At 35.4% G+C, this 26,151-nt stretch overlaps 1 protein-coding gene across 19 annotated transcripts in view; it reads right to left on the reverse strand.

The window, feature by feature from the left end:
- The window catches only part of DMD (dystrophin), a 2,220,167-nt gene that overhangs the window by 1,278,497 nt on the left and 915,519 nt on the right, over positions 1–26,151 (reverse strand). For 17 of the 19 annotated variants that reach the window (XM_006724469.4, NM_000109.4, XM_011545467.2 and 14 more), the window contains 1 exon segment: positions 14,034–14,195. In XM_006724469.4, the coding sequence (XP_006724532.1) occupies positions 14,034–14,195 (162 nt within the window). 19 annotated transcript variants of the gene reach the window in all.

The raw sequence follows: 26,151 nt of genomic DNA on the forward strand, positions 1-26,151 counted from the left end.
AGTTAACTGAGCAGAGAGCAGGGCTGTTTTTAAAATCTTGCTTTACCTCATCAAACCATTCTCATATATATAGTAACAGAAAATGGCCAGCAAAATTATACTGCAGCAGGCTAAAGTACTTAACAGAATGAAGAAAATGATATCAAATAATTATTGGAGTTTCTGTGGTGTCAAAGAAAGGAAAAATTTAGAGAAAATAAGAAAATATTTTAGTAAAAGATATTAAAATACTTCATGTTGAGACTACTGATTGATGGAGGAACGTACCACTGTTAGATTAGTAATTTTGAAAGAGCCAGTAATTTTGAAATTGCTATTTTCAAGAAAGGGAAATGGCCACATATCACACGTACTTAGAAAACGAAAGAAACAAAATATATCAAAAGATTTGGGATGATATGTACTTTCCAAAGATAGGAAAATGCAAGAAATATAATTATTTTCATAGAAAAAAAATGTTGAAAAGTTTCAGGTTATACTTTATAATAATTCAACAAGTAAAAAAAGAAGAAATTCACACAGCTTTGTACTACTCTTTTTTTAAACCCCCCCCCCCAAGTAGAGTTACTTAGAAAAATATTACCTTTAAATTAAATTTTGTCAGCTAAAGAAGTTTTGACTTTTATCAGAAATATGCAATAGGCCAAAGGAAACAGTCTATTTCAGTGTCTCCCCTACATTGTTCCTTGACATATGAGTTTTGTGGTATATCAACATATTTCTGGAGGAAAAAGTGTCTGTGGCTTCTTATCAAATTTAGGTTAAACTTTTATTTTTGAAAATACAAAAAAGTGGGTCAAAAATCTCCAGCAGAGAAGTAAAGCATATAAATTTTTCTGCGTAATCTTGACCACAGAACCGTTTAAAAATAAAAAATTGGACATTGTGTATAATTATTACTTGTAATATACCTGAGAAACGATGTTACGCTTAGTCATAATAACGACAACGATAATAGAAGAGTTCATTATAATAATGTATTTTCTAACAAAGACATTCTTCACAGAAATAGAAAAAACAATCTTAAAATTTATATGGAACTGCAGCAGACCCAGAATAGCCAAATATATCCTAAGCAAAAAAGAATGAAACTGGAGGAATCACTTTACCTAACTTTAAATTATACTACACAGCTATAGTAACCGAAACAGCATGGTACTGGCTTAAGCGCAAACACACAGCCCAATAGAACAGAATAGAGAACACAGAGATAAATCCATACATCTACAGGGACCTAATTTTTGACAAAGTGCCAAGAACACACTTTGGGGAAAGGAGTCCTTCAATAAATGGTGCTGGGAAAATTGGATATCCAAATGCAGAATAAAACCAGACCTCTATCTTGAACCGTATACAGAAATCAAATCAAAATGGATTAAATACTTAAATCTAAGACCTCAAATTATGAAACTACCACAAGAAAACTTTGGGAGAAACCTCCAGAACATTGGTCTAGGCAAGAAATTCTTGAACCATACCACACAAGCACAGGCAACCAAAGCAAAAATGGACAAATGGTAACACACCAAGTTAAAAATCTTCTTCACAACAAAGCATACAACCCACAAAGTGAAGAGACAACCCATGGAATGGGAGAAAATATTTCCAAACTACCCATCTGACAAGGGATCAATAACTAGAATATATAAAGAGCTCAAACAACTCTATAGGAAAAAACTAATAATCTGATTAAAAATGGGCAAAATATCTGAATAGACTTTTTTTTGAAAGAAGATAAATGACAAACGGGTATATGAAAAGGGTCTCAATATCACTGATCATAACAGAATAGTAAATCAAAACCACAGTGAGATATAATCTCACTTCAACTCAAATGGTTTTATTTATAAAACAAGCAATAACAAATGTTGGCGAGGATATGGAGAAAAGGGAACCCTCATACACTGCTGGTAGGAATGTAAACTAGTACAACCACTATGGAAAACAAGTTTTGAGATTCCTCAAAAAACTGTAAACAGAGCTACCATACAATCCAGCAATCCCACTGCTGTGTATATACCCAAAAGAAAGAAAATCAGTACACTGAAGAAATATCTGTACTCCCGTGTTTTATTGCGGCACTGTTCACAAAAGTCAAGATTTGGAAGCAACCTAAATGTCCATTAAAAAACGAATGGATAAAGAAAATATGGTTTTCTAGATATACAATCATGTCATCTGCAAACAGGGACAATTTGACTTCCTCTTTTCCTGATTGAACACCCTTTATTTCCTTCTCCTGCCTAATTGCCCTGGCCAGAACTTCCAACACTATGTTGAATAGGAGTGGTGAGAGAGGGCATCCCTGTCTTGTGCCAGTTTTCAAAGGGAATGCTTCCGGTTTTTGCCCATTCAGTATGATATTGGCTGTGGGTTTGTCATAGATAGCTCTTATTATTTTGAAATACGTCCCATCAATACCTAATTTATTGAGAATTTTTAGCATGAAGCGTTGTTGAATTTTGTCAAAGGCTTTTTCTGCATCTATTGAGATAATCATGTGGTTTTTGTCTTTGGCTCTGTTTAGATGCTGGATTACATTTATTGATTTGCATATATTGAACCAGCCTTGCATCCCAAGGATGAAGCCCACTTGATCATGGTGGATAAGCTTTTTGATGTGCTGCTGGATTCGTTTTGCAAGTATTTTATTGAGGATTTTTTCATCAATGTTCATCAAGGATAATGGTCTAAAATTCTCTTTTTTGGTTGTGTCTCTGCCCGGCTTTGGTATCAGAATGATGCTGGCCTCATAAAATGAGTTAGGGAGGATTCCCTCTTTTTCTATGGATTGGAATAGTTTCAGAAGGAATGGTATCAGTTCCTCCTTGTACCTCTGCAGCCAAAAAACACATGAAAAAATGCTCATCATCACTGGCCATCAGAGAAATGCAAATCAAAACCACAATGAGATACCATCTCACACCAGTTAGAATGGCAATCATTCAAAAGTCAGGAAACAACAGGTGCTGGAGAGGATGTGGAGAAATAGGAACACTTTTACACTGTTGGTGGGACTGTAAACTGGTTCAACCATTGTGGAAGTCAGTGTGGCGATTCCTCAGGGATCTAGAACTAGAAATACCATTTGACCCAGCCATCCCATTACTGGGTATATACCCAAAGGACTATAAATCATGCTGCTATAAAGACACATGCACACGTATGTTTATTGCGGCACTATTCACAATAGCAAAGACTTGGAACCAACCCAAATGTCTCACAATGATACAATGGATTTAGAAAATGTGGCACATATACACCTTGGAATACTATGCAGCCATAAAAAAGGATGAGTTCATGTCCTTTGTAGGGACATGGATGAAGCTGGAAACCACCATTCTCAGCAAACTATCTCAAGGACAAAAAACCAAACACTGCATGTTCTCACTCATAGGTGGGAATTGAACAATGAGAGCACATGGACACAGGAAGGGGAACATCACACACCGGGGACTGTTGTGGGGTGGGGGGAGGGGGGAGGGATAGCATTGGGAGATATACCTAATGCTAGATGACGAGTTAGTGGGTGCAGCGCACCAGCATGGCACATGTATACATATGTGACTAACCTGCACAATGTGCACATGTACCCTAAAACTTAAAGTATAATAATAAAAAAAAGAAAATATGGTACCTATACACAATACAGTACTATTCAGCCATAAAAAGAATGACGTCCTGTCATTTGCAATAACATGGATGGAATTGTACGTTATTACGTTAAGTGAAATAAGCCAGTCACAGAAAGACAAACATCCCATGTTCTCAGTTATTTGTGGGAGCTAAAAATTAAGATAATTGAACTATGGAGATAGAGAGTAGAAGGATCCTTACTAGAGGCTGGGAAGGGTAGTCAGGGGTTGGGGAGGAAGTGGGGATGGTTAATGGGTACAAAAATTAGAAATAATGAGCAAGACCTAGTATTTGCTAGAACAGGATGACCATAATAAAAAAGTAATTTGAGTCTACATTTTAAAATAAACTAAAAGAGTACAACTGAATTTTTTATATCACAAAGGATAGATGCTTAAGGTGATAGACACCCCATTTACCCTGATTTGATTGCTACGCATTGCATGCCTGTATCAAAATATCTCATGTAACGTTTATACATCTACTACGTGCCTACAAACATTGAAAATAGAAATAACGTATTTTCAAGTAATTATGGTTACTTTTCAAAATAGATAAATGAGTAAATCAAACTCTAGGGAACATTTTGGAATGCTGCCTAGAAATAATTGGGAGATTGTACTTCTAGGTTAATTTTCACTTAATAAAGGGCTAATTATTAAAGTGGAGAAAGCAGATCTGAGTTAAAATATCAGCTTCAGTAAAAATGCTTTAGCATTAAAATTCATTAAATGGAATAGAATGTAAACAATGGGAACATTATGATATTACTATGTAAGATCTTGCGGACATCAGTAGGCCATCAATAAATATCTACCATTTAAGTTAATTCCAGGTTATTTAACAACATTCATCACATTTCACCCTTTGCTATGCATCAAAATAATGGAGTGAAAAAGTTGATGGTAACCTTAAATTATCTTTTTAAATATATAATAGTAATTGATATATTCTCTATTCAATAGGGTTTTAAAAACAACTTTGAGGTACAATTTACATACCATAAAATTTTCATTTTAAACATATAGTCAATGAACAATAGGAAATTTATAGAGTCATGTATATATCACCACAATCCAACTTTAGGACATTTTTTATTAACCCCTAAACCTGTGTGTCCATTTTCATTCACATCCTGTTCTCAACCCATGCCTCAACCATTCATCTAGTGTTTTCAAATATTCCCTTTTAAACACAACTTTTATACTTCATTAGGCTGCTGTAATTACCAAATAACGTGAATGCTTTCAAAATATTAGATATTCACATGGTATAATCCTTAAAAACTAGGTAATACATAAAGAGGCTAAAATATATATTTTCCATCAGTCTTTCCTTTTCATGTGAAGAGTTCCATTTTATACTATTCAAAGTATTTTGGAAAGGTTTTCAGAGCTTCAAAGTTGGGCAATCATAAGGCATTATGACAAGAAGTCTTTATGATACTATTAAGTTCCATTGGAAAAATGGTTCTTCACTATTATGGTAAACGTAAGTGGCCAGCAATTTCTAAATTTTATCTTTCTTTGGTGCTATCTAATGAGTGGCAAGATGGCAAGGACCACGTTAGGCTTATTCACATTTTAAATTTTACACTGCCTATCACATTTGTCTGACACATACTTAGTGACTAAACCTCAGTGGAATTCAATAAATTTGCCAGCTATTTGTTAGAAATCTGCTGGGTGGCCCACGGTCTTACAGCTGAACTTTAGTGGTTAGAGAATGGGAATAGACGGGGAAAATTTTTAAAAAGCAAATAAAAGATTTAACAATCACGATAAACGCTGAAAGAAAAATAAAACATAGTATGTTATGCTAAGTGTTATCTGGCTGTGCATTTTAGATCGATAAATTTTCTGTGTGCTATCTTTGAAGTAAATATTCATTTGCATAAGACAAAATTGGGAAATAATAGGATAAATTTGGATCACTTCAAAATATTCAGAGTGTTGCAATAGTGTTCACTGTGGCTGTAGCGTGAAGTTATTAGACTGGTGCAAAAGTAATTGCAGTTTTTGCCATTAATTTTAATAATTTCATCCTTATATGTAGAATTTGTAGATAGATTTTTACAAAAGCATACTATAGTTTAATTGCAGTCTTAAAATGTACACATCAAAATAATATGAAAGAAATCTATATCTTTATCATATAGCCAGTGAGGACATAATAATGTACAGGTTGTCCAAGTACAGTCAGTGACGTGTGGCAAGTTTCTAGTATTTTACATTTCCTACAACTTGTGTTTATGACTGTTTCCCACACTATTAAACATATGAAACTAACAAGTTATTCTTAAATGGAGAGTAATAAGTTCTGTATAGCAACACATAGGGGTGGCCTTTCAATGTTAGAACAGATTCAAAATTAAATGCACTAGGTTTACCATCTACTGGGCTGTGTAAAAAGAAAATAAAAAGTCTACATCTATGGCTAGATAGGTTTTAATATTTGAACCCAAATCTCTGGGTTAGTTCTCCATTTTTTTCTTCTTTGACTAAATTATCCAATTACCACATAAATTCCCCTTTGCAGGTTTCTGCTGTCTAACTCATAAATCAATAAAGCAGACTGTAAAGTTACACTGTTCCAAGTCGTTTGGCAATCAAATATGCCTATTTACACTATAAGAGTCTGTTTTATTCCTTAATGAAATCAAAAGCTCAATCTGATAGACCAAAATCTGCAGTTATATCTTTATTTTTAAGCCATTGATTTTGATAGCTTGGAATGTTAACATTTAAAGATGACCGATTATATTTAATGTGAGTTATAAGATTTAGCTTCTTTGATAAACACGGGAAGATTGCAATTACGAATTCTTCTTAAAGTGCATTTAACGTAATTAGTTTAAATTAATAGCTTTCTTTGCTTTAAAAATCCCCTCTTTTCTAAATTGTACTCACATTGTTAATGGGAGGGAAAAAGAGAAGGAGGAAGTCTGGTCTGTAGTGGACTCTGGAACACCTGACGTCCTAGCTTGGTGAGCAAACCACGGCAGTATTTTTCAATATTTAATTATGAGGCACTCTTCTTTGAAGGTAATTTGTTTCCTTCCTCTATTCCTGCTCATAAATCTACTATGTGGGACACGAGGTTACAAAAAAATGAGATCAGAATTCTTTGGGAAAAAACAAATAGAACAGTAAAGCTACTGGAGCCACTGCTAAGCAACTCCGCTCTTGCTTGCAGTAATTTAAGCAACAGGGCCATGTTTTCCCCTACAAAATGTGCATCAACACATAAGGACATGGTGACTTTCAACAGGTGCCCATGTTGGGTTGTTCTTACATATCAAAGATTCAAAACTAAAATTAGTAGAAAAGGAAAAAAATCATGTATGTGAAAGTATCTTTGTAATTTTAAAAATTGCAAGACATTTAAGTAGCTATTTAAACATAGTTGTCACTGTCCCCTAAAATGATTAAGAGCCATATGCAAGTTAATTGACATGTTAACAAATGGGGTTAGAAAAAAATGAATTGAAGAAAGCCAAGCAGAGTTCAGCCTCAAACATCTATATTGAACATTCTTTTTGTCTAAATTAAAATTTGTGCGATAGCTCTCAGCTATATTTTCTTCCATCACCCATTTTCCATTAGAGGAAAAAATCAAAATAGGAGAGAATCTCACCAGTAGTTTGATTGCCACTCTGACTCCCTCCCATTGAAACGTTGACACAGTCATAGAAGAGAATCTTTATAGAAGAGTGATAGAAAATGTCGTATGAAAAATACTCTGGAACAATTTAGTCATTACTAGTAGGGAACCATCCAAAGCCATTCTCCAATTAGCTACACATTAGAATGAATAAAAAAGTTTCCAAAAATTCTGAAGACCAAATCCACCTAAAGATTTGATTTGATTGCTCCGGGGCTCAGCATGGTTACTTAGACTGTTGCTATAGGATTTTAGGTGCCAAAACTAAACTCTGTGCTTCAATATATAGTTCTGAAAAATTGAACAGTAAATGACTAAATTTGTTCCATGTGTTTCTTTGCAGTCACACAATTTCGTGATTTAATTTTTTATTTATTTCCAAGGAACACGCATAGGTTGTTACATTTTTAATCATAGTACTTTGGAAATAATCCTAGTTTCTGTTTTCTAAGATATATTTCCATATCTAGAAGAGTTTTCCCCATTTGCTTTATTCTGTTTCAATAAATCTTTTCTTAATTTTGTACTTTAATAAAATCTCTCATTAAATGAGCTGACACTGGGTAGATTGATGCTGTGGCCATATAATTTAATTTAAGACTGTGGTACCAGTACCATGCTGTTTTGGTTACTGTAGCCTTGTAGTATACTTTGAAGTCAGGTAGCATGATGACTCCAGCTTTATTCTTTTGGCTTAGGATTGACTTGGCGATGCAGGCTCCTTTATGGTTCCATATGAACTTTAAAGTAGTTTTTTCCAATTCTCTGAAGAAAGGCATTGGTAGCTTGATGGGGATGGCATTGAATCTATAAATTACCTTGGGCAGTATGGCCATTTTCACGATATTGACACTTCCTACCCATGAGCATGGAATGTTCTTCCATTTGTTTGTATCCTCTTTTATTTCATTGAGCAGTGGTTTGTAGTTCTCCTTGAAGAGGTCCTTCACATCCCTTGTAAGTTGGATTCCTAGGTATTTTATTCTCTTTGAAGCAATTGCGAATGGGAGTTCACTCATGATTTGGCTCTCTGTTTGTCTGTTATTGGTGTATAAGAATGCTTGTGATTTTTGCACATTGATTTTGCATGCTGAGACTTTGCTGAAGTTGCTTATCAGCTTAAGGAGATTTTGGGCTGAGACAATGGGGTTTTCTAGATATACAATCATGTCATCTGCAAACAGGAACAATTTGACTTCCTCTTTTCCTGATTGAATACCCTTTATTTCCTTCTCCTGCCTAATTGCCCTGGCCAGAACTTCCAACAGTATGTTGAATAGGAGCAGTGAGAGAGGGCACCCCTGTCTTGTGCCAGTTTTCAAAGGGAATGCTTCCAGTTTTTGCCCATTCAGTATGATATTGGCTGTGGGTTCATCATAGATAGCTCTTATTATTTTGAGATTTGTCCCATCAATACCTAATTTATTGAGAATTTTTAGCATGAGGGGTAGTTGAATATTGTCAAAGGCCTTTTCTGGATCTATTGAGATAATCATGTGGTATTTGTGATTGGTTCTGTTTATATGCTGGATTACGTTTATTGATTTGCATATATTGAACCAGCCTTGCATCCCAGGGATGAAGCCCACTTGGTCATGGTGCATAAGCTTTTTGATGTGCTGCTGGATTCGGTTTGCCAGTATTTTATTGAGGATTTTTGCATCGATGTTCATCAGGGATATTGGTCTAAAATTCTCTTTTTCTGTATATTACAAGGCTACAGTAACCAAAACAGCATGGTACTGGTACCAAAACAGAGATATAGATCAATGGAACAGAACAAAGCCCTCATAAATAATGCCACATATCTACAACTATCTGATCTTTGACAAACCTCACAAAAACAAGAAATGGGGAAACGATTCCCTATTTAATAAATGGTGCTGGGAAAACTGGCTAGCCATATGTAGAAAGCTGAAACTGGATCCCTTCCTTACACCTTATACAAAAATTAACTCAAGATGGATTAAAGACTTACATGTTAGACTTAAAACCATAAAAACCCTAGAAGAAAACCTAGGCATTACCATTCAGGACATAGGCACGGGCAAGGACTTCATGACGAAAACAACAAAAGCAATGGCAACAAAAGCCAAAATTGACAAATGGGATCTAATTAAACTAAAGAGCTTCTGCACAGCAAAAGAAACTACCATCAGAGTGAACAGGCAACCTACAGAATGGGAGAAGATTTTCGCAACCTACTCCTCTGACAAAGGGCTAATATCCAGAATCTACAATGAACTCAAACAAATGTACAAGAAAAAAGCAAACAACCCCATCAACAAGTGGGTGAAGGATATGAACAGACACTTCTCAAAAGAAGACATTTATGCAGCCAAAAGACACATAAAAAAATGCTCATCATCACTGGCCATCAGAGAAATGCAAATCAAAACAACGAGATACCATCTCACACCAGTTAGAATGGCGATCATTAAAAAGTCAGGAAACAACAGGTGCTGGAGAGGATGTGGAGAAATAGGAACACTTTTACACTGTTGGTGGGACTGTAAACTAGTTCAACCATTGTGGAAGTCACTGTGGCGATTCCTCAGGGATCTAGAACTAGAAATACCATTTGACCCAGCCATCCCGTTACTGGGTATATACCCAAAGGATTATAAATCATGCTGCTATAAAGACACATGCACACGTATGTTTATTGCGGCACTATTCTCAATAGCAAAGACTTGGAACCAACCCAAATGTCTCACAATGATACAATGGATTTAGAAAATGTGGCACATATACACCTTGGAATACTATGCAGCCATAAAAAAGGATGAGTTCATGTCCTTTGTAGGGACATGGATGAAGCTGGAAACCATCATTCTCAGCAAACTATCGCAAGGACAAAAAACCAAACACCGCATGTTCTCACTCATAGGTGGGAATTGAACAATGAGAACACATGGACACAGGAAGGGGAACATCACACACCAGGGAATGTTGTGGGGTGGGGGGAGGGGGGAGGGATAGCATTAGGAGATATACCTAATGTTAAATGACGAGTTAATGGGTGTAGCACACCAACATGGCACATGTATACATATGCAACTAACCTGCACGTTGTGCACATGTACCCTAAAACTTAAAGTATTAAAAAAAAAGACTGTGAATTGGCTAAGTGTTATCTTTTGAAATAAAATACTCCTAGGTCAACACATGCTGTTACATCCTGGCAGCATGCAGCTTTATTTTCTAAAAGTGTAAGCTTTGCTTCTGTAGGTAAGCTCATGTCACTAAAATAAGTAACATAATTTTAAATCCAATTCAGAATCTGAGGGCCCAGAGAAATAACTGATCAATTAACACACTAAGGAAGTGAGCAGCTCTTTTCTTTCCTATAGTAATAAATGCCAATGTGAATGTAAAGAAGCATCCTGATCTACATCTACTTTTATATATAACAAGAGTATGGTTGTCAGAAAGTTGTACATACAGTATGCATTTCCTTAGTGCCATAGCTTTTATATCTGAGGATCTCAAACGATCTTAAAATGCAGAAAAAATAATGCTCTAAAAGATTCAAATTAACTAGCAAAACTCTCAGTGCACCACACGGTGGAGTCAGACACCCACAAATCTGCGTGACCAGTATATGACAGAAAATCTGAGCAGGTATTTCAAAGAGGACTTAATATGGTAACTTCATACATTTTTTCCTGCTTCTCCGTGATGAATTAAGCTAAATATACCATTTATGAGAAAAGAAATTATAGTGCACTAATATTTTAATTAGCAATAACCTTTTTATCTTTAAGTGCAAATTTATAGAAACACATTTTTGTTAATACAATGCATTGAAGTTAGTCCCTATTCTATTCCTTTCTTTTCTTTCTTTCATCTATCTATCTATCTATCTATCTATCTATCTATCTATCTATCTATCCATCCATCAATCCATACATCCATCCATCTATCCACCCCATCTCTATATTTAAAATGTCATTTTGGTGGCATTCTTAGTGGATCCTTCATCTTACACACTGTGCTTATGTTATTTCACTATCTAACTTTTGACTCTCTATTTTATTTCATGGGAATTTCGAGCTGCTTTTCAGGAAATATAATCCTTGAAGCAAATCTGAGTACCTGAGAACTCTGTTCTAGAAAACAATTCACTTACTGCCATATTAAAATAAAACCCTGGAGCAGAAGAATGTTTTAAGAGCTTTCAGATGGCTTGTATTCTCCAATATTATGTATTACCATTGGGGAGACTCAATGTCAAGAACTATGTTGATAATGCAGGTGTGACCTGAAATGCATGGAAAATAGATTTGATCTGAATGCCCAAAATCTCTTTCTTGAAGTAGATCTGAAATTTCATAATTTATCTGTGTTCTGCTGTTTACTAGTACTTTTCTACTGATGTAGTTAATAACATTTTTATTGTAGTATTTTTTTAGAAAAACCAAGCAAAATATTTTGCTATTAAAAACAAGTAATGTTTATAAAATCCTGAATCCATTTCTAAATAAGAAAAAACACACAGTGCCCCTTATCACAACCTGTTCAACTAAAGATGCTTCGCCCTAAAAGCTCCAATTTTCCTTGAAAGACAATAGTATAATAGCTTTGCCTATCAAATTTGCTACTCATAATTTCATTCCGCAAGTCTGTCACAAAGTAATTCTTTATGCATTTTGAAGTACAAACTTGCAATATTAATGTCTAGTATTCATACTGCTCAAATTTTTCCTTAATTCCATTCAGAACGTCACAAGCATTTTTAATCAAACATTCCTTCAAAACTCATGTCATTAGTTTAAATGAAAGCAGTTCTACTCTGTATTTCATTTATAGTCATGTAGTTCTTCTCAATTCAGAAACAATTACTCATTCCTATCATGCATTTTACTAAACCCTGCCGTGGTAGACACACTAAATACCCTGACTTGATCATTACACTTTCTATACATGTAAGAAAATATTACATAAATGTTGTATCCATAAATATGTATAAATATTTTATATCAAAAAACCTTTTTCATTATGACTCAAACTGGGACGGACTTAGGAATAGTTAATTCTAGAGAACCTGGCTTGTGTAAGTTTGAAAAATATATATACTGGAGTAGGTTTGTATAAACCTATCACACTTACCCTCTAAAATATGTACAATCATTATATATCAAGACAAATTAAAAATTGAATCCTCAAGTATGTTTACTATTATCCCTCACTTCTACTACAATATTTACTCTTGTTGCCCAGTGGAAAACTATGATGAGGATTTTATCATCAGGATTCTCCCCAAAATTCTCTTTCTTCATCCACTATTGCAATTGTATGCACTCCATAAGGAAATAATATTCCCTGGACTTTTTAAGCCTATCAAAACTACCTATACTCTGCCACATATTATCAGGGACATTCTTGGTCAAAGTTAGACAATATGGTAAATTAACTCATGCTATTGTGTATACTGTTGCCCAGAACACCTATTAACGGTGATTCATTAACTGTAATTGCATTGTAACCATGATCTACAAATCTAATATATCACCCCCAAATTCATTTTAAAGTGAAAAACTTCAGACATCTTCACCAACTGGCAGGGAGAAGGCTTTGAGATTTGCAGCTAACCTTCTAGTGCTCCTCTCATCATAGCATGGACTTGGTGATTGGGTTCACAACATGTATATAAGATTTGAAAAGCAGATCTAGTAATTGCGATCACACAACCCTAAAGACTTTTGAATAAATAATACCTATGATAACTTCACATATGTTTAAATGTTAATTAAAAAATGAGAACAGCATTTTAAAAATACTTCTTACAGTGAATGTAAATTTAGTTATGGCCTAAAATTTACTCATTTAAAAGTCAACTCAGATTTATTTTCAACACTATTTTAATTCTCATTCTAGAAAAACAGGTAAACACGTTTTATATTTTCGTTTGAATGAAGCATGGGAGTGAGTGCATGTAGCTATATTGAGCATGATCATTAATAATTGAGGTGTAAATTTATATCGATAATTTTGTGTTACTCACTGCTTGTAACTAACACATTTTTATAAAACAATATAGACCATGTGACTAAACGAGGAGTTTATAATAAAATGTTTGAGACTGCTTTCCAACAATGCCATAGAAAATATTTTCTTTTTTTCTTTTTATAAGATAGAGTCTCGCTCTGTTCCAGGCTGGAGTACAGTGGTGCAATCTCGGCTCACTGCAACCTCCGCCTCCCGTGTTCAAGTGATTCTCCTGCCTCAGCCTCCCGAGTAGCTGGGATTACAGGCGCGTGCCAACAAACCTGGCTAATTTTTGTATTTTTAGTAGAGACAGGGTTTCACCATGTTGGCCAGGCTGGTCTTGAACTCCTGACATTGTGATTCGTGGGCCTCAGCATCCCAAAGGGCTGGGATTACAGGTGTGAGCCACCACACCCGGCCAAAAAACATTTTCTTTACCATTTACTATCCTATGGTTTTACTCTAGCTTTTAGTATAGTTTGAAGTCAGAAACACCAGAACGTATTGCTCCTGTCTTTGAAATGTCTTTATTTCAAATTCCTCCATTACATCCTTAAAAAAATAAATCTTAGACTAATGATCTAGACCCCCTTTTCTTCCTACCTACCTCCAAATAGTCAAATCAGTGAATCAAAACAACCCCATGGAAAACTAGTTGAATAAATTTAAAGTTAGAAACACTGCAACATTTTGTTGAAGTAATAAAAACAAAAGAATGGAAGCTGATTCCCAGATGTACTTGCCTGGGCTTCCTGAGGCATTTGAGCTGCGTCCACCTTGTCTGCAATATAAGCTGCCAACTGCTTGTCAATGAATGTGAGGGACTCCTGGATTAAGTGTAAGGATTTTTCAGTCTCCTGGGCAGACTGGATGCTCTGTTCAAGCAACTTTTGCCTCCTTACAGCCTAAAAAGAAGGAATAAGAGTGTATCAGTTAAATGTTTACTCTTGATAGCTTTTCTGTAATCCTGCTGAACAATAAATGAAGATTCTAGACTCTTCCACAATCACCTTTTTGTAAGACAGATTTCGCAGCTTCCTGGCACTCATTCAGCTCTGTTGATAGAAAAAAAATGTGAAGGAGAAAAATAAATAGCAAACAAAACTATAGGATCAGGGATCTCTGCATGAAAATCAATCACAATATCACGTACATTAAGGAAATAGGCTGGAAAAAAAATTAGCAAAATCATCTCAGTCATTGCAATCTGTCTTTCTCAGGTCGAATGTTCCTCCTGATCTCATTATATAGTTCAAGAGATTTGGTTTGCTTAGAATAGGGTCATCGTCATCACAATCCAATTCAAGACAGATAATCTGCTTCCACCAGTGAGATACATGTACAATCTGTTCAGAATCAGCTCCTTGTCAAAAACAGAATTTTAGATAACAGTCTGGTTAAAGATTTATTTTGAATACTATTTCAACCAGCTTTGCATGATCTTTTTTCTCCCTACTTTCTTTCACAATTTGGATTACAGAAATTGTTTGTACAATTGGGTTTATGTTACTGCTGAAGTAGAAAAAATAATAAGTAATCCTAATATAGCTGCAATTAATCTTGATTGTAACTATAAGTATGATTAGGATAATTCAATAATGTTCAAGTATAAATACCATGCTGCACAGATTGGAAAGTCTCCCTTCAAGGATCTGTTCACTTTTAACAGAGTAGTTGTAAAAGTAAGAAATAGGGCAGGCAACTTATTGGGAATTCATTATGTGTCATTTAAAATACATTTCCTTAATATACAATGTAAAGGCATGATTATCAGGTACAATATAACTTTCTTTCCCACAGAGCATGACTGAGGTTTTAAGATGATCTTGGTTTTTATATTATATATAGAATATTAGATATTACATAAATACTATACTTTTTAAGCTTTAAAAATATTAGTGATGTCATTATTCTTCAGTGAAGCCAGCCTATAACACAGCTTTGCCCAAGTAAAACTACAGTTAAAGGCATCTAGACTAAGGCAAAAGAACAGGAAGTTTAGTGATGCTGCAGGAAGAGGGAAGGCTTTCCCAGTACTTCTCCCTGTACCATAAATTTTGACTCCATTAAGATTTTATCCTGGGCTTTCCTTTCTTCTCATTCTACCCATACCTTAACTTCAATTCCTCCTCACATTCTGACAACTCTCAACTCTACATCTCTCAAGTCCAGATCTCCCCTTGATCTCCATACTTGCATGTTATCTCACCCTATTGGACATCTCCTCATGAATATTCTGCAACCACCAAAAGCTAACACTCCCACACATGAACTCCTTGCATATACTCTTCTCACCTACTTCTCAACTCCCCAACTTGCTTTTCCTCCTTCTCTGTATTTTTTCCGGTTTCAGCGAAAAACAAATAATGATTCCCTTTATTAGATGTAATTCTAGATATTTCTACTTCCTCTATCATGTCCTTCATCATGTTGCATCTAATCAGTCAATCACTAATTATTTATTATACCTTCTAAATAGTTCTTGATTCCAATCTTTTCTCTCTCTCTCCATTGTCTTTACTCTAGTTAAAATCATTACTATATCTTACCTCAAATATGCTATCAGTTTCTTCACTGGCATTTTACTCTGCCACATCCCACCTGTAAAGCAGCTGCAATGTGTTCTCTCAATAACGAATTGGGGCTTCCTGTCTAAAATTCTCTAGTGATTCTTTACTGTCCTTCAAATAAAAGCTCTATTCTTTTTTTTTTTTTTTTTTTTTTGAGATGGAGGCGGAGTCTCTCTCTGTCACCCAGACTGGAGTGCAGTGGCACAATCTCTGCTCACTGCAACCTCTGCCTCCCTGGTTCAAGTGATTCTCCTGCCTCAGCCTCTCAAGTAGCTGGGATTACAGGTACCTGCCACCATGCCTGGCGAATTTTTGTATTTTTAGTAGAGACAGGGTTTCACCAATTTGCCCAGGCTGGTCTCAAACTCCTGACCTAAGATGATCCACCCACCTCGGCCTCCCTAAGTGCTGGGATTATAGGCGTGAGACATTGCGCGCAGCCAAAAGCTTTATCCTTAATGTGGCTTAAAAGTCCCTTCATAATATAAGTCCTGCTGGTGTCTTTTACTCCCTGCTCTAGCTATACAGAAATTTTATTTTTTATTTCCCAACCTACACTGTGGCCCTCTTGATTCTTGGCCTTAAACATGTTGTTCCCTTTTACTGGCATAATCTCAATTCTGACTTCCTTTTATTGGCTAATTTACATTTATCTTCTTAATGTAGTGGACATCTCTTCCAAGTGGCTACCTCTGGCACCTTCTAAGTTCAGGGAGGTAATTCTTGCATGTTCTTTGAATTTTGTATTTTTTTGATTTGACAAGTAAAAATTCTATCAAGTTAGAGCACGTAACATGATGTTTTAATATATGAATATGTTACGGGATGGCTAAATTAAGCTATTTATGCATTCCCTCACATGACATTATGTTCTTTCTTGCACTTTGTATGTGCCATAACATATTTAATCTCCCATTAATGGTCTGCATTTACTTTAGACTATCAACTCTAATGAGTTCAAGGATTACGGCTGTCCTGTTCATTGCTCAATACCAGTTCCTAGAATGAAGCCCAATAGCTTTATTTATGACTGGGTGAAAAGTATAAGGAGAAATTTTAATGAGAAAAACAGAAAACTTTAAATAGTCAAAGACGAAAATGGATTTACAGAAGAAATTGTAAACAAAGGTCACCACTGCTCAGAGATGTATCTTTTGGACAATAAATCTATCTGTTTTTGTATTAAAAGTGTCAGAATGGGGGTGGGACATTATTTGGAGAAAATTTTAATCTCTTTCTATTAAAATTCTGTATCCAAGATTGGTGACCGAGGCTTTGCCCTATATTCCAATTCAAACATAGCTTCCTTTTGTTCTCAGTCAAAATTTCAACTAAAATTTACATCAGGTAATTTACTATTTCAGATAACAGTGTTCAGGGCTATAATCAGAGCCTCTATTGCAGAGGAGACTGGCTGCAGCCTACCCACAGCTCTTCCAAAGAAATGGATCTCTAGTGATAAAATTTCAGCATTGTGACAGGTGGTTGGAGAAAACTTCCAATCACAGCGTGTAATAATTGCCTAGCCAGGTATTAAATTTGGTCCTTCCTCTGGCTAAAGGCAAAAACAGTGTACTCTACAAGGCACATCTGTAGATTTTAATTGTATAGGATGTAATATAGAATAACATTAAACCACATATCTAGCCTCAAAATTCTTTTTAGAAACCTAACTTTTTCTATTCATGAGATTCTATGAGCTGAAAGGAACAGTGTGGCTTAAGAAATGATGGCAGAGTTGACTTCGGGTGGGTTGGCTCTTTTCCTGGCCTGACAGTCAATAAGAGAGGCTGATTTACACAGATTCCTTGATTATCTCAGTCATTGAAAAGACCTCATGTCAATGCAAGCTTGCAGAATTCTTTCAACTAGTCATGGCATAAGCTGCCTTCTATTTCTAAACATCTGATTAGGCGCACCCTGATGGAATGTCAGGCTTATGAATTTTCTGACTTTCTGCCCGCTTGACCTGTGCTGTCTCATTGAATGAAGTTTGTAGAAAGTCTTCAACCATAATCTGATTTTTTGTTGTTGTTCCAGAATACTGTTCCGCTGTTGTTTTAAAATGTTATTTCATGTCTTTAGCTAATCCACTTAGCAGTAAGAGGAATTATATAGCTAGACAGAAACAGCAAATATAAGGAAAGTTAGAAAGACATCTTTTAATAACTGGCGATCAATGACAAAAATATAAAAATAGAAAACAATCCTAGTAATGGTTACCAAGAAAAACACATAATATATTTTAACCCAGTTTTCAATGAAAATTAAAACTAAGTAAAAGTTAACACAAATTAATTATTTTATATCTTTAAAGTACTATGGAAATATAAAATAAGTTTAAGAAAAAGTTTTAAGAGTTTAATGAGTTTTGCTGGCAATGTAAAGTCATCTCTACAATGAATTGACAGTTTCTCACATTTCCATTTTAAAAATAATGTACTAACCTTTGTACCACAATATTACAAACACATAAATCAAAGTGTAGCATGTCTAAGAAACTCTGGAAGAGAAAACTCTGCATGTGAAATAAAAAACCGAATATTGAAACCAAAAAATGTATTTAACATATGAATGCATGCTTTAAAAAGCCAAATTAGAAAAAAAATCATTTAATAATATTTTACAAAAAACACATTCATTAAAGGAGCTAGGTATCCTATACTATACTTATTAAACTCAATACAAAAAGCAATTTTACTGCATTTATGAGGTGATGGGTAAGCTTATGCTTGCAAATGGATTAAGAATGTGGGTGCACTGTTTACAATCATCTCGTAATAAGACACTTTTATTTTTGGTGTTTAAATACTCATCATTGTATTCATCATTGTGATGTAGACATGTAAAACATTTCAATTTCCAGCAGTTTTAAATATTTTCTTCTGAGTAAAGAAGGATTTTTGCCAATGTCAAAATAAAGCCCTCATTTTTATGAGTGATTTTAGTAGTAAATGAACTAACGAAAACTAAATCCCAAATTCCAATTCAAATAAAGCAAAGCAACGACAAAGTCTTGAAGTTTCTGCTTAGGGTAGTGCATTAATTGGCCCCAACCTGACTGTCCGTACCTTGCAGAAAGTAGAGCAATATGGAATATGTTTTATTTTATAGAAAGTGTCTTGGGATAGGAGTCCTGCAAGAGATGTGCTAAAACCAAATCCTACTCAACCTGCCCTTCAGAAACTACAGTGGAGACCCATGAGAGGACATTAATCTCCATTTGACAACCACGCTTCACTTCACAGAGTTTACCAGTCAAGTTTTCTTTCCCAGAGTCTCAACTTCAGTGGACCAAGCAACACTTGCTTCAGTGGATCAAGCAATAGTTCAGTGGTCCAACTATTTCCTTTTAGTGTTTCTTTTTTACCTACTAACAGGTTGCAATTTGTTCAAGTGCCAAGTACTAAGAATACTGGTGGGTGTATATCATTTTTGATAAACTATTTCCTCCTGACCTAACTCTTCTATTTAACTTAAGAGCAAGTGTGAAACTGTCACTATGGATATGAATGCATTGAATTCTATCTGTTGTCTTAGAATTTTGGGTATAGTCTTAAACTGAAAATAACAAGTAATAAGTCTCTCTCATTCTAAGAGATGGAAATAGCAGGGCATAGCAAAGGGCTTACAAAAGAGCTGGGAAAACTGGCCCTGCCTTTGTTGCTCCACCATACCCACTTATACTAAAACTCTCTGAAGGTTTTAGAAAGAATCGGTCTTCTGAATTCATGGCCCAGAGGGAGAGTAGGGATGGCTCCCTCTGTTTATTCCGTAAGGGGGAAAAGAAGATGGTACTTCAACCTTTTTGTCCCATGCAAGTAAGTGGAGCTCCAAGACCACTGATCACAGGGTCTGGGAGTCCAGAGTAGATAGGGATGACACCTAATTACCAACTCTGCTTCTGAAGATGTCTGCTTCAGAAATTATATGCCTACTTGATAGGTAAAAAATGAATGAGAAATGATACAGTGAAGAAGGGGGGCAGCCTGTACTCCCCAGTGCTTGGTGTGGCAAACGTTTCTCAATAGGTCAAGTGAACGTGGAAGAAGACAGCCATGTTTGAGCTATCTACCAGGAACACTCTTTATGGAGCAAGAGTACCTCAGGATCAAGAGGCTTGAAGATGTTTTTATAGAGCATATTTTCCTTCTTAAAGATGGGGAAAACAAAAGAGCTTCTGCAAGACTTCTTAAAGATCCCATACTTGTACCCCAAATAAACCCGAACTTTGTATCTCTGTTACACACACACACACACACACACAAATCATAAACTCAAAGCTACAAATAGCTAGTTAACAGGAGACATTTGCCTATTTTCCTTAACTCCTACTTCCCAAGACATTGGAGAATAATATAACTGAAGTGCAGTTAAAAAAAAAAAAAAGAAAAAGAGGCAGTGGAGGTGTAAGATGGAATCTAACCACACTTGCCTTCCAGAGAAAGTCTTTTAGACCATGGCTTAAGCTTGAGCTGGAAACAAGGAAGCATATTAAATTAAATATGACATTGAGATTTTAAGCTGAACCCAATTAGATTTAAGTCTTTATTACCTCAGAGGCCAGAAAGCAAAGGGATCTATTCATGGCGCCATCTACCTGGATGATGTAAAAGCATTTCATGTTTCTGATCTATCTGGCTGAAACTACGCATCAAACTACTAACACAGTCCACGAATTCAGCACTTACTCAAATAAAGCAAAGGCAAAGGAGAATGATAGACATCCAGATCATCTAGAATGTGGTCCAGCAGAAGACAGAAAATGGTTTACGGGAGGTCTGAAGAGATAAAGAACTTAAGAAATATCTGTGAAAAATGGAGCATTATAGTAGTATCACATGATTGAAAAGCTAAGATAGATATGTTGATGCTTTTGTCTCATGCAACTGCAAGTTGCATGTTTTATATCCGTCTACCAACATACATGAATATAAATAATCCACGTGAAAACTATTGCTCCTGTCAAATGCAACAACTTGCCTACTGATTGGTAACTTTGCTGAACAACCAATTTAAATTCCTGAAGCATAATTCTAAGGTCTTTAAAGAAGCATGCCATAAAAGTATCAGGAATTATTTAAGGACCACTAAGAATGTTCTATTTGTCTCAGAAATTGGTTCTTACAATTTTTAGTTGTTTAGAACCGGCAAGATGACAGCCTTAAAGAAGTTGACACTTCAGGAGATCGAAACCATCCTGGCTGACACGGTGAAACCCTGTTTCTACTAAAAATACAAAAAATTAGCCTGGCATGGTGGCAGGCGCCTGTAGTCCCAGCTACGCAGGAGGCTGAGGCAGGAGAATGGTGTGAACCCGGGAGGTAGAGCTGGCAGTGAGCTGAGATCGTGCCATTGCACTACAGTCTGGGTGACAGAGTGAGACTCTGTCTCAAAAAAAAAAAAAAAAAAAAAAAAAAGAAGCTGACACTTGAAGCACACATTGTATTGTACACTTGAAAAATCTTTGAGATTGATTAGATAGGAACACTTTATTTTCCATAATTTCATATGGTGTTAAGTAATAGATCCTTTAAAAGTTATACAAAAATTTCCAGATGTCTAGATATGCTTATACCAGCTTAATGAAATGTTTTCCAAAAAGAATAGAGTTAGGATTTTGAAAAGGGAATTAAATGGAGATTAAGAGAAAAGCAGAGGGAGAAGAGGATAATTTACAACAGAAGAAATAATTTACCAATGCTCATAGCTCATCACAAGATTCACTTTGTTGCTTTCTTTGTTTTCAAATTAGTTCATCCTATTTTTTCCTAAAGAAAGGAGGTCTCACACTGTGTTCCTTGGACAAGAAAGACTAAGTAAATTAAAACCATGTTGCTTTAACCCACTTTAAATATAACTCTTGTGAGGGGCTTTGGTACAGTGGTTTTTCCTGTGGCATATTTGTTAATGTATTTAATAGGGATATAGGCGGTAAATAATTACAAAGATGTGTACATGTCTGCATATATATCCTTTAAATATAAAATAAAGAAGGTTACATTATTCACGAAAGGCTTCTAGATTTATGTTTTGTTAATGTCACTAGGTTTGAACACACCTGGGAGAAAACTCAAAAGCCGTGAGCATGGAGCTCCTATAATTTTCTTTACCAGGAAAGAATATAAATGTGAAAACTCTTGGTGTCATGGTTAATAGGAACTTCACCTGTTTTAGGTTTTAGCAGGTTACTGAAGTTCTTCTGTGACCTCTGAAGGAAGCATACTTGAAAGTAACGTTTGGGAATCATTTTATCAATGGAACTTGACATCAGATAGCCATCACTTTCAAGTAAAGCATTGAGCATTGATAGAATGGTCAATGAGCTATAGAGTAATATATCTAAGACATTTCTGGATTCTTGCTGCATCCATTTATCCTCATGGGTAGACAAGTGAAATTGGTCTTCTGCCCTGACAGGAGCAAACTGATGCTTTATTTAAGCTTCAAAAAGAAAGTGAATGAAGCATTATTCAGTAAACATAAAATAAGTCTACAGGATTCATCATATCCAAGCTTTCTCAAGGTACCTTCAGGAGCCACCCTAAGTCAGTGAAATTTTTCCGGCCCAATGGCGAGGTACTCTTTGACTGCACATGTGTTCATATTATTAAAGTCTAAACTTTAGGCAGTGAATAATTTATTGATACAGGAAATAATTAAAATATTTAAGTCGCTGTCTCCTGATATGGAATAGTGAGACAGAATCAGATTCTAGGGATGACTTGGTCAGCATTGAGACCACATGTTCAAGCAAAATATAAAGTTTATACATGAGACAAAAGTCCAAATCTGGGGATAAAATCAAGTTGGAAAAGATGAGAAGTCAAAATTAGAAAAAATGTAGCTGGTGCTTCTAAGCCAAGTGGTATAGGTTAATTAGCCAAATACAGAAGTACCCAAGTGAGAGAGAGCATACTGAGGCCAATTACAGATAGGTTGGTGGTTGTGAGCAAACTAGTCCTTACAATGTAGATGAACTAGCCAGTTGATAGTCCTCTTAAATAAGGTCAGTGATATCCAGTCAGTACAGTAGTGTGACAAAGATCTCAGAGTGAAAGAACTTTGGAACTCGTTAGTCCCTCTACTTAGGAATTCAGACTCTCAGGAAAGAAACTCAACACAGCATCTCTGGCTTTCTGGACTTAATATGATGTATGGGAAGCAAATTCATCACACTTCCTTTTATAGACCAGGTAAGGATGGCCACACAGGTTGCCTATGAATAAAATAGTTTCCAATCTTCAGTCAAGCAGTGTGAAATACAGCCTTGATAACTAGAAATGGTGCTTTTCTGATGTGCATTAGAGATCTCTGCTGGATTCCTTCTACTGTGATGTAGGCTCATAATACTCTAAGGCCAGTGTTCAGGTTCTCTTGGACTACAGTGCCATGGATTTTGCCGGCCTCTGTGGTCAACTGTAATTCATATTGGTTCGAACTTGAAATTGTATCTGAGCAACTGGAAAAATGCTCCTCTCTCCTGGGATGTCTGGGACGACTGGTCCTTTTTCATCCTACCCAATTACATGAAGATTAACAATATTTATTTATCACAAATACTCCAGATGATTGTCATGGCTCTGGAGAAGTTGATGTGCAAGGCACAGTATGCTTATGGCTTCCTGTCATCTTACTTATCCACACTACATTGAAAAAGTCCTCAGGTCTAGCTCAGTCAGTATCTACATTATTGTGTCCTAAGGTTATTACAAGGTTTTCTAATATTTTGTCCTCCAAGTTGTTAGGATAGACAAGACTGCAGTTTTGTAGAAAAGAACTCCTACCAGGATCTTTGGCTCTGATATGATTCATTTGGATGGGATGTGCACCTTGAACAGCAGGAACATGGTGTATGGAACAGCTGCTTTTCCTTCTGCTTTCGAAACATTCTGTATAGTGCTTTAGGAGTAGGTTGGGAGTGCAGAAAGATGACTCGTGTGTTTATATGAGCATAGGGAACAGATAAACACTGGCAGAATGATGCATTACAATCGATTCCTTGTTACAGACTAGGGTCATCTGCCACAAAATGTTCTTACAATACATTAAGCTTGCTGAAATAGAAATAAACTGGTTCCAAACTTCCTCTCTTCTCTATGTCCTCACCCCACAATGGCATCTTCTCATCGTCTATAGATGAAACCCATCGTGCTGGAATTATTTGGCATGGGAGAAGAATAAACAGGTTTCCGGTGTGACGCTTTAACTTGTAGGATTGTTAAACTTGTCATACCTCAGATATAGCTGAAGATTAAGATGTGGACAATGCCTACAGCCATGCAGGACTGCTTAGCATCTTCCCCACAGGAAGTATCTGTTCCGTCAACATTGTGGTTCGGGTGAGGGAGAGAGGTAATATATAATGAGGATCCTAGTGATGCCCTTTCCGTGTCATCAAAAATCTGCTGCAGTTTCCTAGAAAGCGTTCATTCTACTTCAGCAGGGAACTATGGCTGTGAAGGAAAACCACTTTTTCCTCTGCTTGGTTTAGTTGTTGAGGAATTGGAAAGGAGCTTCATTTCTGGAATACAGAGATCATCTATCTGTCATGAGCAGTGGTTGGGCAAGAATAAATTACTGGTCCACAGTGGGAATGAACCTGACACATAATGCACCTTAGCAAAGTGCACCTTATACATGTGCTGATAAAGGTCTATCTAGACTGGGGTTCACAAACCTGAATAATCATCAGAATGAACTTTTCCAAATACAGTTCTCAGCCTCAATTAAAATCTACTAAATTAGAAAATCAGAGGGAGTCAAAAGTGGGTATGTGTACACCAAAGTCCCTATATTCTTCTATCTGTGTAATTTTGGTGATGAGCTGAAATTGAGAAGGTCTATGAAGACCGAAGTTAGAAAGAAAAGATGTCTTAAATAACAACAACGAAAAATAACAGGTAAGAAAATGCAATCAGTTGGGCTTACAGCAAAAAAGAGCGAACAGTAGAGTGCTATGAAATTGGTATTAATGCTGGTCAGAATATACGAAACATAGTGAGGTAGAAACAGTAAGGAAATTCTCCAATTTTCTTTGATACTTTCAATGAAAAATTACTAATAAATATATGCATTTTATGATTTAAAAGACAGCATGATGAACTTGAAAAATATTTTTATTCCTCATTCCATCTAGGGACACTGGAATACACTGCAAAGAAATGTTGTTTAACATTCCCTTTTCCATTTATCATTTTTTTTAAAAAAATAAACATTTTCAGAAATTTGGCCTGAATATTAAATAACAGATTTGATTATTCAATCTCAAGAATCTATGAAGTAGCTTGCAAAGAAAACGGTTTTAAAAAGTTGAGAGTGGTAAAACGTAAGATGAAAGAGAGAGATGAATATGTACCCTCAGAACAGTATTGTGTGTTATAGAAATTAAGTATTAGTTGTCAATCATCATAGATAATTAAAGTTATTGACAAGTTTCATTAACATAAAGATATAAACTCGAGGAATTTTTCTGAAAAGGTACATTGATAAACTTAAAAGAGAAACTTCAATCCAAAAATTTATCACTAAAATGCTACTTTATCAATCCATACTACTGATTTAGCTTTTACAACTGATTAGTTTTTCGGCCTTAATGGTTTTCCTTTATGTATTAACTCCCTCTTTTGTTATTCCAACTTTATTATTCTTTTTTTTTTTTTTTGGTAGGCCCTTGTAGAAAAGCTATTCCAACTTCAGAAGAAATAACTCAACTATCAAATTATGAGATATTTGAAGACAAGATACCATTAAATGGATATGTTAACACTCATTCACAAAGATATTAATGCCCTCCAAGAGCAAACATAATTTGTCTAGAGTGAATATTAAATACTTAAATATTAATCATATATTGAAATGCAGTACATGATTATATGTATACATATGTGCTTATATACATGTATATATAAATACATGCAAGTATATATATGTGTTTGTGTGTCCCTTTGTGTCTGGACCCCAAAAATGCTAATATTCTATAATAGGCATACAGACGAACAAAAACATTTAACTACTGTTTTATATAATATTTCGGAAAAGTAAATATGACTGTCCAAGGAAACATTATTGATTGAAGTAGGGTAAATTATATCTAAAAATAATGGAATTACTACTTACAAAGAAAAAATCCATGATTCATGGTGATTAAAATAAGAATTAAACACATTCACCACAGACCCTTTTGTGAAGGCTATGTACTCTTTCAGTTCCTGTAGCTATAAAATAGAGGGTAACTACATTTAAAATACAAGATGTATTTTAAAATATTATTAAAAACAAGAATCAAGGT

The sequence above is a fragment of the Homo sapiens genome, chromosome X (genome assembly GCF_000001405.40).
Source record: "Homo sapiens chromosome X, GRCh38.p14 Primary Assembly".
Lineage (NCBI taxonomy): Eukaryota > Metazoa > Chordata > Mammalia > Primates > Hominidae > Homo > Homo sapiens.